We start from the raw sequence: 17,247 nt of genomic DNA on the forward strand, positions 1-17,247 counted from the left end.
AAAGACAGATTCTATTTCCTGTTTTTGGTTTCTAAGTATGTGTACACTTACTTGTTTGTTTATTTGTTTTTAGAAAGCTGGCCATTTCTGATGATACAGGATGGCAACTCTATATCCTGAGGGTCCCTTCCCAGAGGTTGCTGTTGTTGTTTCTTGCTTGGTCACTTTTTATTTGTTTGTTTGTTTCTTTATAGATTTTACTGAACTAATCCTGTAAAATACCTTTTCTTTGCATTTGAAAGCCTCCAATATTTCTGCTTAAATTATTTTCCCCTTATTTTTATATTTGAGCTGAACTTCCCATGAATCAGTGGGTTCAGTCACTCTTGAGTTGGCCTAAGCTGTTTATTTTATTTTACAAAGGGTTTACATAAGGCATCTGAGCTATTTAGATTTTACTGTTTGCTGTGAGATGACTCTGTGTGTGTGTGTGTGTGTGTTTGTGTGTGTCTGTATGTCTCTGTGTGTGACTTTTTATGTTCTAAGTTTCAGCTAGACACCACTAGTTTGAAGTCACCCTATTTCATCACTCCTAAGTGAATTTGGTCTTGGGATGCACGCAGTGTTCCAGAATGCCAGGAATTAAGTAATTTTGTTTTAATCCTAACTGTCTAGAATCACTCATGGTTCCCAGTAGCTTTTTATTCAATTAGTGGTTTTATTTAAGCCCTTATGTCAGTGGATCTTTTATCCTCTGTTGATGAGTCTGTCTGTGGCTTGTGGATACACTCAAGTCAACCCCACGTCTTGCTCTGATTGCTCCTGAGTGGGTGCAAACTAGATCATGTTACAAACTAGTGCACAAGCTCCCTAAATCCCAGGGTGTCTCTCATTCCAGAAGGCCTATTCTTGACTTTCTCATTCCTTGTTTCTCTCTATTAAACTTACTATGGAGCTACCAACTCCCTCTTATTTTTTCTTTAACAAGATCTCTTTCATTTTTTTTTATTACACTTTAAGTTTTAGGGTACATGTGCACAACGTGCAGGTTTGTTACATATGTATACATGTGCCATGTTGGTGTGCTGCACCTATTAACTCGTTATTTAACATTAGATATATCTCCTAATGCTATCCCTCTCCCCTCCCTCCACCCCACAACAGGCCCCGGTGTGTGATGTTCCCCTTCCTTTGTCCACGTGTTCTCATTGTTCAATTCCCACCTATGAGTGAGAACATGCAGTGTTTGGTTTTTTGTCCTTGCAATGGTTTGCTGAGAATGATGGTTTCCAGCTTCATCCATGTCCCTACAAAGGACATGAACTCATCATTTTTTATGGCTGCATAGTATTCCATGGTGTATATGTGCCACATTTTCTTAATCCAGTCTATCATTGTTGGACATTTGGCTTGGTTCCAAGTCTTTGCTATTTCATTTTTTTAACATCATCCTTTGGCATGAGGTTTTCCATTTTCCATTTCCACACAAATGAAGTGTAGAGGAAACAAAATTTCACCTCGATGCTCTTAGCGTTCCAAATGGGTCGAATAATTACACTGATCTAAGATATAGATTAATAGAGAAAAAGTCTAATACAAATTTTATGTAGCATTGGAGCCCTCATAAAGAAATGAAGACCCCAAAAAAACAAAGTCAGTTACTTATTTACTGAATTGGACAAATAGTCAACTTGAGAATGTGATAAGGCAAAGGGCCTTGGGTTAACACAGTTAACTGGGTAGAGAAGTAGCTAAAAAGATAAGGGTTGGTGTACTAACCCTTTAGAAGTAGCTAAAAAGATAAGGGTTGGCTTGAGTCTCAACTTTCTCGTCCTTGATTAGAATGTTTTTCTCTAGTATAGGGACGGTATCTTTCACATGGGAATTTTCTCTGTTTTTTTTTTGAGACGCACTCTTACTCTGTCGCCCAGGCTGGAGTGCCGTGGTGCGATCTTGGCTCACTGCAAGCTCCGCCTCCCGGGTTCACGCCATTCTCCTTCCTCAGCCTCCCCAGTAGCTGGGACTACAGGCGCCCGCCACCACAACCAGCTAATTTTTTGTATTTTTAGTAGAGACGGGGTTTCACCAGTTTAGCCAGGATGGTCTCGATCTCCTGACCTCGTGATCCGCCCACCTCGGCCTCCCAAAGTGCTGGGATTACAGGAGTGAGCCACTGCACCCGGCCCCGAATTTCTTCTGCTGTTAAGACATAGCATGAAGGTCAGAATGATCTTCTTGCACCTGCTGTTTTTCATGTGCTTTTAATTTACTGTTTATGCCAGGGTGGTACATTTTTAACTCCTTCAAAAGCCAGTCCCCTTAAGCAGAGCTTTTCCTGGAGACTCTCACTGCCTCTACAGTGTACGGAATTTTTAGAAGTACATTAAAATAATGCTAAGTACTTTCTTATTATGCAGAAGCAAATTGAATTTAAAAACTAATCTCAGATGAGTGTTAGCCATGTGTTTTGTTTTGTTTTAGCCTACTTAGTGAGATGTTTTAAAATCTGTGCATTATTTGATCATTTTTTCTGCTTTTGCTGTTGCGTAGTGCATTTTTGAGGGATATTTAATATTACCTGTTACTACTCACTAAATGTCAGTAGTACTATACCAATCATTGTGACTATCACAATGCTGTAGCAAATTTATAATGTATACACTTTTATAAGAATGTGGCCATAGCATATATATATTCTATAATTAGAGTGTTTATGACCATAATATATCTTTGACAAAATTTAATCTCAGTTTGCGAAGATCTACCTCATTTTTAACTGCTATTTAGTTTCAATATTATGTATGTATTTTATTTTTCTATTCCAAAACTAATATTAGGTTGCCCTCTGTTAAAATTTTCCAGGTGGATTCGATTCCAAAGGCTCCTATTTAAAAACCTTTAAAAGTAATTTCTTTCAGATTAATTCATTATCACCATAGTTAGACCAAACAAAAATTATTTTAAAATATGTCATGCCTTTTAGCTTAAATTTTACTTTTCACAAACATGATTTCTTTTGATTTTCCCAACCTACTAAGATTCTATTATCATATGTTGTAGAGGAAAAAATGAGGATCAAAAGGGCTAAGCAATTTTGAAATGATTGAACAACATTAAGAGTCAGAGGGAAATTTAATAGCAGGTGGTTATGGCTCTTCTTTTCCACTCTAAGGCAGGGCCACTCTCCTATGTCTGATCTAACCACTTCACACTTCTACCAATAGTCTTGAATTCTGGTCTTTTAAAATATTTCTTCCTTCATCCAGCTTTCCTGAGTAGGATCTAGTGTGTAAATTGAAATGTCCCTTCCAAAGAAAGCCTATAAGCAATGAAATTGTTTAGAAATTGGGGAAATGTCTGTTACCTTGCCTACAAGATCCTATTCCATTTATCGATTGCAATTGCCTCGATCAAAGCTGAAGGGCACATGAAATTCACTATGAAGCCTGCAAACTGCAGAACTTGTGGCATTTATTTCTTTAGTTTGTTTCAGTACAAAACCTTGAAATTTGCCCTTGTATTCTGAACAGATTTTTAACAAGCATTATTGCTATTGTGTGTTTAATATCAAAGAATAAACAAAGACAATTCCCTTGAAAAAATTATGCTAATTGATTGAAAAGCATCAAAAACATTTACAATTCTTTTAATGAGTAGATAATTCTGCATTGATTTTTTTGAAACACAAGCATTTTCTGGCATAGAAATATGCCAGATCTCTATTGGTTATATTTTGCTTATATTTTTCTCTAAGTCAATATTATGAATGCTATGTTTCTATTGCTACACATACATTATTTTACCTCTAGTTGACAATGAAAAACAGCAGACTAGCCAATTATATAAAAGGATCATAAGAGAAAATATATTTTCATTTTCTGGAAATTGTATTTCTCCCAAATCTCATCTTCATAGAGTCTACAAATTCATTTTCCTTAGATTAAAATTGCTTCCAGACAAAAAATCCAGAATGATAATTGGAGTATTATCTTCCTAGTTGGAAGTCAAAAATAGATACTTTTTTTTCTTCTGTTTAGGTAATAATAGTTCTCATCCAAAATAGGAATCTGGCAAAGAAAATGAAGGAGGGAGAGAGAGTCGCATGGTTTGACTTTGATTTTTTTCCATGTAATAATCAGGAGATAATTCTGATCGCATGCATCATCTGGTGCGAGAATAACGCCCATTCAATTGAGCCTTTTCATCTCTAAAGGCCATTTTATCCTCAACTTTATAGTCACCTTTCTTGACTACAGTCGCAATAGTTAACTCTGTAAGTTTGAAGATATTATGGGAAGTTGAGGGATCTAAAGAGCATGTGAATAGGCTGACACTGCATCAGGGAAAATAAAACAAAACAAAAACAAAATAGCCTGTCATTTATGGAAGAACATTTTGGGCTCTTTAATGTGAGTTAAGAAGAACATATTTTACCTCTTATAATAGGATGTTATTAATGGTCGAAAATATGCTACTAAAATAGAATCAAGCTGGAGAAACCCACCCCCAACTATAAGAAATGTGGCTTGGAAATATAAAAGGACTCACACTGAAGAATAGTCCTAAGAATGTTAGATATGTGGTAATGTCTTCAGTGGTTCCAGCTCTGTTTGATGACATAAAATAATCCATTCTGGAGAAAAACTTTATGAATTTTTGGGATGTGGGAATGCTTCATTTTCTCACATCCATTCAAAGACACATGATAATGCATATTAGAGATGGACCTTGAAAATATAAGAATGCACACCTAACTGAAACCCAAGTAGTATGGAAGTACTGAAAAGCTCTCCATTTCAACAATTATTTTAAAAGTCACATGAAAACTACTAGAATGAAATTCTACAAATGTAAGTAATATGGAAATCCTGAAACAAATTAATTATTGTATAGTGCTTGAGAAAATTCAAAACATGAAAGAAATAGTATATGAGTTACACATATATTGTGTTTATCAGTGGTTCATTATGAAAGAGGGTCTCTGCGCTACAATTTTCACTGCTTTTGCAAGGGAACATTGAGGTGAGAATTGCTCAGATACTTCGTAATCAACAGTATGAGTTTAACGGGCAGTGGTTTTTTTTAAGCCAGTTAAAGTATTTTTCTATCCATTTTAAAGTGTGTTGAATCTTAGAGTGAACTAAAATGTATTCCTAATATATAGGTAGGTTTAATTTTTATATAGTTGTTTAATTCTTCTGTGATTAATAGGCCATTGAAAAATGAGTATTTGATTATTGTTGAGATTTTTCTTATTCACCTTATCTGGAAGGTTCTGAATATCCTCACCCATTTTATATATTCCACCTTTTATTCATATGGGAAAAACTTCTCTTTTTTGGTGTAAAAATATTTATCTTATTTTCTTGCTAATAAAGAGTTGGGGTTAATCTGTAAGGATGTAAAGTTTATTATGGAGTATAGTCTCATGTGAAATATTATTTTCATATATTGCCCTTTACTGTTTGTCATTATTTCTGCTTGTTATTTGGATATTTCACTTGAATTAAAGAGAGCACTGTGATAGAACAATATATTGTGTCTAATCTGAGAGAGAAAACCTCCAGTCTCACCCTCAAGTATAATGTTAGATCTGGGTTTTTAATAACTGCCTTAATGAAGGTTGAAAAAAAGAAAATACTGTAACATGTTTATTCATTTAGATATTTAGAAAGTTATAAATATTTTATACATTCTTGAGATAATTCTTTAGAAAACAAGAAATTTCTTGTTGCATATAATGTGTATGCAACACATTAGATCAGTAATATAACAAGCTATGTGGAAGAATAACAGCAGTAAAAGGCAATTATATATTAATACATTTAAACAATAAGAATTATCGATTACATTATTAAAAATCAAAGAAGATTGATGACTGACAGGCCTGTTAATATGTGTTGCATGGTAATTGTTTGGGTGTCTGTGTGCATATGTGTACACATATACACAAATACATATATATGTATAGTTATATATTATTTATAAAACCATCAAATCATCAATTTTAACATAAATTTACATCATAATGTTTTATATAATCTCTAATTATAACTTGCATATTCTTTTATCAACTTATTTTCTATATAAAAATTTCTAAGGTCCTCAAGCTGCCATTATATTCCTCAGGACAAAGGGCGTTTTAGTCTTTACATTTTAAAGTAATTTATAATAATGTGAGATGATGGATATGTTAATTTGCTTGATGCAGTAACCACTTTACTATTTATATGTAGCAAAACGTCATATTGTACATTTTAAATACATACAATAAAAATGAGTAGACTAATTTATGATTTATGTTATTACTTAGTCTTTAAAAATTTCATGAACAATTATTTGGTTAAATATTGCTTTTTACTTTGCAGATAAAACCAAATTTTTTTTTTAAATGAAATAAAGCAAACTGCCTTTGTGTAGGCATTTCTTTTTCAAACATCTGTAGACACTTAACAGCTTTTATCACTGGTGAGAGAGGTGGCTCATGCCTGTAATCCCAGCACTTTGGGAGGCTGAGGCAGGTGGATCTCTTGAGGTCAAGAGTTCAAGACCAACCAGGCCAACTTGGTGAAACTCCGTCTCTACTAAAAATACAAAAATTAGCTGGCGTAGTGGTGCACGCCTGTTAATTGCAGCTAGTCTGGAGGCTAAGGCAGGAGAATTGCTTGAACCCAGGAGGCAGAGTTTGCAGTGAGCCGAGATTTCACCACTGTACTCACATCTGGGCAACAGGGCAAGACTCCATCTCCAAAAAAAAAAAAAAAATAGATTTTACAACAAATCTATTTCAAATTATGTAGTATTACTTACACGTTAAATGTATTGTGCATGGAAGTCAATGCTTTAAAGATTTTAAAATATTTTAAATATGATTGTTTTAGTTAAATAGAATTTGACTATGTTAAGTAATTTGTCCAAATGATTGTATATTTTGGATTAAAAATAAGTTTGCAACAAACTTTTATTTCAAAATACTAACATCTGTGTTTATCTAAATCAAAAACGTGATAAAGTTCTATTTCAAAAAATAAAATAAAAATTTCAGAATACATAAAGTAGAAATTAAAAGACTTTCTTAATTTTAACTTTCTGTATACTTGCTATTAGTTTATAATATATAGACTATCTTAAGTTAAACATTGGCATTTGTAATAACAGGTGCTGTACATATGTGTGTGTGTGTGTGTGTGTGTACATATGTCTCTGTGTCTCTGTGTATATGTATGTGTGTGTGTTAGAATTAAAAAAGGAATCAAGAAGCTGAGGTGGGAGAGTAGCTTGAGCCCAGGAGTTTGAGGCTACAGTTACATGCTCACACTCCTGCACTCCAGCCTGGGCAACAGAGTGAGACCAAGTCTCAAAAAAATAAAAATAGAAAAAGGAATCATTGCATGTGAGAATACATGAAACTCTTTTTGTGTTCATTAGCTACAGAATGTTTCATTGTTTGTAGTCCCATAAAGTGAAATAAGTTAATTAGTCTGCAAAAACTCTACAGTATTAACAAAAAATACATAATTTAAAAACAAATGGACAAAGAGAAAATGTGTAAGGGCCAGTAAAGCAGAGCATAGTTGTTAAAGGACTTGTTAACATATTATAATAGGCTGTTAGATAAACTACAGCAAACATTCTTTTGAAGTCACTACTATGCTCAAAATCATTAAAAGAGCATCCTATGGGCCTTAGAAAAAAACAATATGTAAAAAGCTGAGACTGATCAGGCTGCTCCCAGAACATATAAACTTATCATTCATAGGGTGTGGAGAGAAAATGTTAATGCCAGAGTGAAACAAAGGCAGTGAGTCCATGAAATATTCCAAAGCTCCAAAATGGAGCTAAACCTGAAAGGACTTCTTTAAGTCAAGATCCAATAAGAGGGAATGCTCAATTGCTTATATGACATTGACGTTATTTCTTTCTCACATGGCAGTCCATAGGTGAATGCTCCAATATTGGTAGAGTTTCTCCTCTGTGGAATTATCCAGGACCATAAAATGGCAGATTGGTGTTAGTCATACTAAGCTTATGGCTTCCATCACTAGGTCTACAGTTTAATATTATAGAAGCCATTTCTGTCCATATGATCGGTAAAGACGGCAAAAAAGGTTATCAGTTGACATGTACTTTTGAATAAATTCAGGGTATTTGAATTGGCAATATGTACGAATATTTGACACATGCATACATCTTTGGTACAATGATTCTACTTCTAAGAATTTTATTTATAGAGGAATTATGTAGATGTGTACAAATATGTGAACAGTAATGTAGCATAGCATTGATTATATGATTAAACTATGTAATCTCTATTTTTTAAAAAATTTATGTGTTACTGGTGATTTAAAGTAGCCTTGTTTTTCAGACCTTAGTTAATAAACATAAAAGAATAAGGAGAGATTTCTGAAATGTAATTTTAAGAAGAAAATATTTTTAAATGTTTAAAAGTGGAAGAATTTATTTTATCTTCCTTTCCGGATGTTAAAAAGCCAGAATCCCCCAAATTAAATGCATAATATTGCATATTATATATTTATGTAATTTGATTGTATTTGCATATATATACACATATGTGTATAAATATATATATATACACATATGTATATAACTAAATGAAATTACTAGAAATATGAACTAATGAAAATAATAGATAGTGTTAGAGAAAGGACATGGGCTTGGAGAAACATTTATCTCAATTTGAATCCCACCTCTACTATCTGTGAGATTTTCAACAAATTATTGATTTTCCCTCATTTTCAATTTCATTACTTGAAGAATCAGTCCAACGAAGACTTTATTTGTGTAACCATGGATACTAGATGAGGCAGTGTTTGTAAAGTACTCAGTACAATGCTAAGAAGTAAGTGCTCAACAATGTTAGTTTTATTGCTGTTTTTGTTGTTTTCATTATTGTTACTGACATACATATTTATTAAAGCTATCTCTGAAATCATCTGTGTCAATAATTGTACACATACCGTTTTTAAAGAGGTTAACCAGGCTCTGCTACAATATTTCCAGGGACAGGGACAACATTATATTTTAAGAGATCCCACAACCTGTAAGTATTATAATTGTACATAACTGTTGCTATACAAAATATACCCCAGTATATGTTAGTAAAATGTATAACTTTAATATTTTAAATATATATCCAAAATTCTTGTGTTTTCCTAAAAATATATGAGTAAGTAATTCATACATTTAAGGTATTTTATTATTTAGAATAAAATCAAAAGTAACTATAAAGGATAACTAGCATATAATCAATTAGATGAGACAAAATGCAGTTATGGATTTCCTTTGAAAGCCAATTTTTTTTAAAAAAAACATATATTGAAGATGGAAGGCTTATACCTTGCAAAACAAGGCTTATATCTTAAGCCATTCTTGAAAAATAATGTTTAATATTTAGGAAAATGGCAGACTTGTACCCTTCCATATTTCTATTATAATAGACTTATTTTGAAAATTAGATTTTGCTTATTAGCATGTTAAATTTCATTTTGCTGGGAGAGGGAGATTAATGAGCTTAAAGCAATAATTGCCTAGGCACCTGTAAGAAAGCACTCATATAGAGGAAGCCTTTGATTTTAGTTTTCTTAAATACAGATCTCTTAGATTGCTTTCTTTTTGCACATAGCTAGAATGTAATTAAAATAGATAATTAGAGAAAGTAATTACTGAGTACTTCTTTCATCCTTGTGCATTCATTAAGGATTATATATAAATCTAAATTAGCCCGAAATGTACAGTAGTTGACAGTTTGAAAACTATCTTGAAGTATAACATTAAGAACAGTCATTTTTTCTCATAAATGTGTGTGTTTAACTTGGAACCATGCACAGTTCTATTAATTTGTATAACTGGGGTTTTAAAATGATGCAAAGTAGTGAATGATGGACTAGCAGAAAAATCTAAATTTCTATTTTATATTTATTTTAAATAAAAAGAAAGAGATTTATTTTCCTTATTCTATTTTACTTGTTTATAATTTTATATCCCCAACATTTTGCTGAGTCATTATTATTTCTTTTCTTTTCTTTTCTTTTCTTTTCTTTTCTTTTCTTTTCTTTTTTTTCTTTTCTTTTCTTTTCTCTTCTTTTTTGAGAGGGAGCCTCGCTCTGTTGCCCAGGCTGGAGTGCAGTGGCGTGATATTGGCTCACTGCAACCTCCTCCTCCCAGGTTCAAGCGGTTCTCCTGCCTCAGCCTCCTGAGTAGCTGGGACTACAGGTGTGCGCCACCATGCCCAGCTAATTTATTTGTTTTTAGTAGAGTCGGGGTTTCACCATATTGGCCAGGATGGTCTCAATCTCCTGACCTCGTGATCCGCCCACCTTGGCCTCCCAAAGTGCTGGCACTACAGGAGTGAGCCACTGCACGTAGGCTGAGTCATTATTATTTTTATTATTTCTATAAGATAAACTCTATGCAAATTGATAGCTTTTCCAACTTAATTGTCCTGTTCAGAATATGAGCTAAGGTCAATTTTTCTTATTATTAAAAACAAAGCACCAAACAATGTGAATTGTTACTGCATTATAGTCATTGGTGTCTCCTACTGGAAGTAAACTCCAAATATGTTAATTGTATAGAATTCCAACCCAAATAAAGAATCATAGAAGAATCCCTAGTGTTACTAGATATTAACATTTGCAATCTTGAGTAAATTAGATTATGATGTGAATTGAATGAATTTACAGGCAAACCTTGTTATATTGCACTTCCTTTTACTGCACTTTGCAGATACAGTCTTTTTTTAACAAATTGAAGATTTGTGGCAACCCTGCATCCAGCAAGTCTATTAGCAACATTTTTTCAACAGCATATGCTCACATCATGTGTTTGTGTCACAATTTGGTAATTCTCACAATATTTCAAACTTAATATTGATTATTATTAAATCTATTTTGGTGATCTGTGACCAGTGATCTTTGATGTTGCTATTATAATCGTTTTGGGGAATCCCAAACCAAACTTATAAAAGACAGCAAACTTAATTGATAGCGGGAGTGTGCGTTCTGACTGCTCTACTGACCACCGTTTCGCTTGTCTTCTCACCTTCTCTTAGGGTCTCTCTGTTCCTTGAGACAAAACAATATTGAAATTTGGCCAATTAATAACCATACTGGGGCCTCTAAGTGTCCAAGTGAAAGGAAAAGCTGCATATCTCACCTTTTAAATCAAAAGCTAGAAATGATTAAGTTTAGGTAGGAAGACATGTCAAAAACCAAGAAAGGCCCAAATTAGGCCTCTCGCACCAGTTAGCCAAGTTAGAAAAGCAAAGAAAAAGTTCTTAAAGGAAATTAAAAAGTACTACTTCCGTGAATACATAAAGAATAAGCAAAACAGCTTTATTGCTGATATAAAGAAAGTTCGAGTGATCTGGGTAGATGATCAAACCACAATATTCCCTTCAGACAAAACCTAATTGAGGGCCAGTATTAACTCTATTGAATTCTAGGAAAGTCAAGAAAGGTAAGGAAGCTACAAAAGAAAATTTGAAGCTAAGAGAAATTAGTTCATGAGGTTTAAGGAAAGAAGCTGTTTTTATAACATAAATGTTCAAGATGTAATAGCAAGTGCTGATGTAGAAGTTGCAGCCAGTTTTCCACAAGATCTAGCTAAGAAAATCAATGAGGGGGGCTACACTAAACAACAGATTTTCAATGTACATAAAGCAGCTTTCTATTAGAAGAATAGACCACCTAGGAGTTTTAGAGCTAGAGAGGAATCAATGCCTGACTTCAAAGCTTCAAAAAATAGGCGGCAAGTTGGTGGAATAGTAAGCCACCAAGGGCTACAGCTCTCTGTGACTCCAAGTGAAGTTGAAAAGCATTCTAGGCCATAAGAACTGCAACTCTTAGGTGAGTCCTACGGCTGAACTAGGCCCAGAGAAGGGTAACTAGGGAGTCACATGACGTACTGAGATAGAAGCTGGGGTAGCCAAAGGAGTTCCGGCAAGGGAGTTCCCCTAACCTCAGGCTGCACACCTCAGAGCTCCAAAAGCGACTCTTCCCTTCTGCATGAGGGGAGCAAAGGGAAGAGCAGATAGGACTTTGTTTTGCATTTTGGATACCAGTTCAGCCACAGAAGAACTCTGGACACCAGCCAGAGTTGTGAGGTCCCTGTTCCAAGCCCTAGCTCCCAGATGACATTTCTAGACATACCCTGGGCCAAAGAGAATCTGCTGCCTTGAAGAAAAGAACCCAGTCCTGGCACCATTCATCACTTGCTAGTTAAAGAGTCCTTGGACCCTGAATAACCAGCAGTGATACCCAAGTCCTACATCAAGGGCCTTTGTGAGCCTCTGAAACTTGCTGGCTTAAGGTGAGACTCAGCATTCTACCATCTGTGGTGGCTACAGGGCAAAACTCCTTCGGCTTGAGAAAAGCAGAGCAAAAATTAAAGGGGACTTTATCTTTCACCTTTAGGTATCAGCATGCCCACAGCAGGGTGGAGCACCAAGCAGCGTGTTGGAATCCCTGATTCTAGGACTAAAGTCTTAGATGGCATTTCTGGACCTGCCCTGGGCCAGACGGGAGCCCACTTCCCAGAAGGTGAGTCCCAGGCCAGGCAGCATTCAGGACAAGCTAACTTAAGAGACCTTGGGCCTTAAGGAAATATTGGCAGTATTCTGGAAGTACTCTTTGTGACCTGGGGTGGTGGTGACTCTGGGGTGAGGCTCCCCTGCCATTGGAAAAAAACAGGGAAGAGTGGGAAGGACTGCATCTTGTGGTTGGAGTACCAGCTCAGCTGCAATACAATAGAATACCAGGTAGACTTCTACAATTTTTGACTCTAGTCCCTGACTACTGGACTGTACTTCTGGACTCACCCAGGACCTGGTGGACCTCGCCATCCTGAAGGGAATGACACAAGCCTTGCTGCCTTTAATATCTACTGATAGTCGAGTCTCAGGGCCTTGAGCTAACATAGGTGGTGGCCTGGGAGTGGTTACAGCAGGCCTTGGGCAAGACTTAGTGCTGTGTTGGCTTCAGATCAGACTCAGCACAGTTATAGTGATGGTGGCCACAGGGGTGCTTGTGTCACTCCATCCCCAGCTTTAGGTAACTCAGAACAGTGAGAGAGAGAGAGAGAGAGAGATTCTGTGTGTTTGGGAGGTTGTAAGGGAAGAGAACAATAGTCTTTGCCTGATAATCCAGAGAATTCTCCCAGATCTTGTCCAAGACCTTCTAAGGTGGTATGGTACCTCTACAAGTCTGCAAGAACCACAGTATTACTGGGCTTTGGGTACCCTCTAAAGCAGATGGAGTTTAGATCACAACACCCAAGTCATTTCAAATACCCAGAGAGACTTCCCAAGAAGGACAGCTACAGATAAGCCTGGACATTGATGACTACAATAAATACCCAACTCTTCAATGCCCAGACACCAAAGAACATCTACCAGCAATGACACCATCCAGGAAAACATGGCCTCAACAAATGAACTAAATAAGGCATTAGGGACCAATCCTTGAGAAACAGAAATAAGTGACATTTCCCATAGATAATTCAAAATAGCTGTTTTGAGGAAACTCAAAGAAATGTATGATAATACAGGAAAGGAATTCAGAATCCTATCAGATAAATTTAATAAACAGATTGAAATAATTAAATATAATCAAGCAGAAATTCTAAAGCTGAAAAATGCAATTTGCATACTAGAAAAAGAATTAGAGTCCTTGAATAGAAGAATTGATCAAGCAAAAGAAAGAATTAGTGAACTTGAAGATAGGTTATTTGAAAATACACAGTCGAAGAGACCAAAAGAAAAAGAATAAAAAGCAATGAAGCATGCCTACAGCATGTAGAAAATAGCTTCAAAAGGGCAGATCTGCAACTTATTGGCCTTAAAGAGGAGGTAGAGAAAGAGATAGGAGTAGAAAGTTCATTCAAAGGGATAATAACAGAGAACTTCCCAAATCTAGAGTAAGATATCAATATCAAAGTACAAGAACACTACAGAATACCAAGCAGATTTAGCTTGAAAAAGCATACCTCCAGGCACTTAATAATCAAACTCCGAATGTTCAAAGATAAAGAAAGGATCCTAAAAGCAGCAAGAGAAAAGAAACAAACAATATTTAATGGAGCTCCAACATATCTGGTGGTTGACTTGTCAGTGGAAACTTTACAGGTCAGGAGAGAGTGGTATAACATGTATAAAGTGCTGAAGAAAAATAACATTTATTAGAAGAGTATATCTGGTGAAAATATATTTCAAACATGAAGAAGAAATAAAGACTTCCCCAGACAGGTAAAAGCTGAGGGATTTCATTAATACCAGACCTTTTCAACAAGAAATATTGAAAGAAAGAAAAGAACATTAGTGAGCAATAAAAAATCACCTGAAGGTACAAAACTCACAATAATAGTAAGGTAGAAAACTCACTGGAAATAGAATATTATAACACCGTAACTGTGGTGTGCAAACTACCCTTATTCTAAGTAGAAAGACTAAAGGATGAACCAATCTAAAATAATAACTACAACAACTTTGCAAAACACATTCAGTACAAACAATATAAATAGAAACAACAAAAAGTTAAAAAGTGGGGGGATGAAGTTAAGGTATATTATTTTTATTAGTTTTCTTTTTTCTTATTTGTTTATGCAAATGATGCTGTTATCAGGTTAAAATAATTTGTTATAATATAGTATTTGCAAGACTCCTAGTAACCTCAAACCAAAAAACATACAGTGGACACACAAAAAATATTATATCACCAGAGAAAATCACCTTCACTAGAGAAAGATAGGAAGGAAATAAGGAAGAAAAAAAATAAAGAAAACAGAAAACAAATAACAAAATGGCAGGGGTAAGTCCTTACTTAATGTAAAAATGTAAATGAACTAAACTCTTCAATCAAAAGAATAGACTGGATGAATGGATGAGATAAATAAGACCCATTGATCTGTTGCCTACAAGAAGCACACTTCACCTATAAAAACACAAATAGAGTGAAAATAAAGAGATAGAAAAAGATATTTCATGCCAATGGAAACCAAAAAAGAGCAGGAGTCACTTTGCTTATATCAGTCAAAATAGACTTCAAAACAAAAACTATAAGAAGAGACAAAGAAATTCACTATATAATGATAAAGGAGTCAATCCAGCAAGAGGATGTAACAATCTTAAATATATATGCACTCAGCACTGGAGGACTCAGATATATAAAGGAAATATTATTAGAGCTAAAGAGATAGATAGGCCCCAATACAATAATAACCAGATACTTCAACACCCCACTTTCAGCATTGGACAGATCTTCCAGACAGAAAATAAACAAAGAAACATCAGACTTAATTGGCTCTATAGACCAAATGGATCTAATGGATATTTACAGAATAGTTTCACCTAATAGCTGCAGAATACACATTCTTTTCTTTAGCACATGGATTATTCTGAAGGATAGACCATATTTTAGGTCACAAAACAAGTCTAAAAACATTCCAAAAAATTGCAATCATATCAAGCGTCTTCTATGACCACAGTGGAATAAAACTAGAAATAAATAACATGAGGAATTTTGGAAACTATACAAATATATCAAAGTTAAACAACATCCTCCTGAATCACCAGTGGGAAAATGAAGCAATAAAGAAGAGATTTGAAAACATTTTTGAAACAAATGATAATGGAAACACAACTTACCATACCTATGGGATACAGAAAAAGCAGTACTAAGAGAGAAGTTTGTAGCTATAAGTGCCCACATCAAAAAAGAGAAAAAAACTTCAAACGAACAATCTAATGGTGCATCTTAGAAATTAGAAAAGCAAGGACAAACCAAACTCAAAATTAGTAGAAAAAAATGCGTAGTAAAGATCAGAGCAGAAAAAAATGAAATTGAAATTAAAAAAAAAACAGTGAAAAAAAATTTGTTTTTTTGAAAAGTTAAACAAAATTGACAAACTTCAGCCAGATTGAGAAAAAAAAGAGAGAAAATCCAAATAAATAAAATCAGAAATTTAAAAAGAGACATTAAACTGATATTGCAGAAATTCCAAAGATCATTAGTGGCTACTTTGAGCAACTATATGCCAATAACTTAAAAAATCTAGAAGAAGTGGACAAATTCCTAGACATATACAACCTGCCTAGATTGAATCAGGAAGAAATTCAAAACCTGGTTAGACCAATAACAAGTAACAGGATCAAAGTTGTAATAAAAATGGACAAATGGGATAACATCAAGCTAAAAAATCTTCTGTAAAGAAAAAGATAATCAACAGAGTGAAGAGACAACTCACAGAATGGGAGAAAATATTTACAAACTACCCACTTGACAAGAGATTAATAAGCAGAATATATAAGGAGCTCAAACAACTCTATGTGAAAAAATCTAATAATCCAGTCAAAAGATGAGCAAAAAATATGTATAGACTTTTCTCAAAAGAAGACAAACGAATGGCAACCAGGCATATGGAAACGTGTTCAACATCATTGATCATCATAGAAATGCAAAGTAAAACTATAATGAGATATCATCTCATCCCAATTAAAATGATTTATATACAAAAGACAGGCAATAAAAAATGCTGGAGAGGGTATGGAGAAAAGGGAACCCTTGTACATTGATGGTGGGAATGTACATTAGTACAACAACCATGGAGAACAGTTCAGAGGTTCTTATAAAACTTAAAATTAAGCTGTCATATGATCCAGTAATCTCACCACTGGACATATATCCGAAAGAATGGAAATCAGCATATTTGAGAGATAGCTGCACTCCTATGTTTGTTGTAGCACTGTTTACAATAGCTAAGATCTGGAAGCAACCTAAGTGTCCATCAACAGACAAGTGGATAAAGAAAATGTGGTACATATACACGATGAAGTACTATTCAGTCATATAAAAGAATGAGATCCAGCCATTTTCAACAACATGGATGGAACTGGGCATCATTATGTTAAGGTCATCCAAACTGGAAATTAAGAAGTCAAATTATCCTTGTTTGCTGATGATATGATCTTATATTTGGAAAAATCTAAAGACTTCCCAGGAAAACTGTTAGAACTCATCAACTGATTACAGATTTATTTCACAAACGTAATGATCTCCAGTTCCATCCATGTTGTTACAAATGACTGGATCTTACATGATAAACATCACATGTTCTCACTTATTTGTGGGATTTAAAAATCAAAACAATTGAACTCATGGACACCAAGTAGAAGGATGGTTACCAGTGGCTGGGAAAGGTAATGGAGGGTTGGGGGGAGGTGGGCATGATTAATGAGTACAAAATCAGTTACAAAGAATGAATAAGACCTACTTTTAATAGCACAAGAGGGTG

The sequence above is a fragment of the Homo sapiens genome, chromosome 21 (genome assembly GCF_000001405.40).
Source record: "Homo sapiens chromosome 21, GRCh38.p14 Primary Assembly".
NCBI classification, from domain to species: Eukaryota; Metazoa; Chordata; class Mammalia; order Primates; family Hominidae; genus Homo; species Homo sapiens.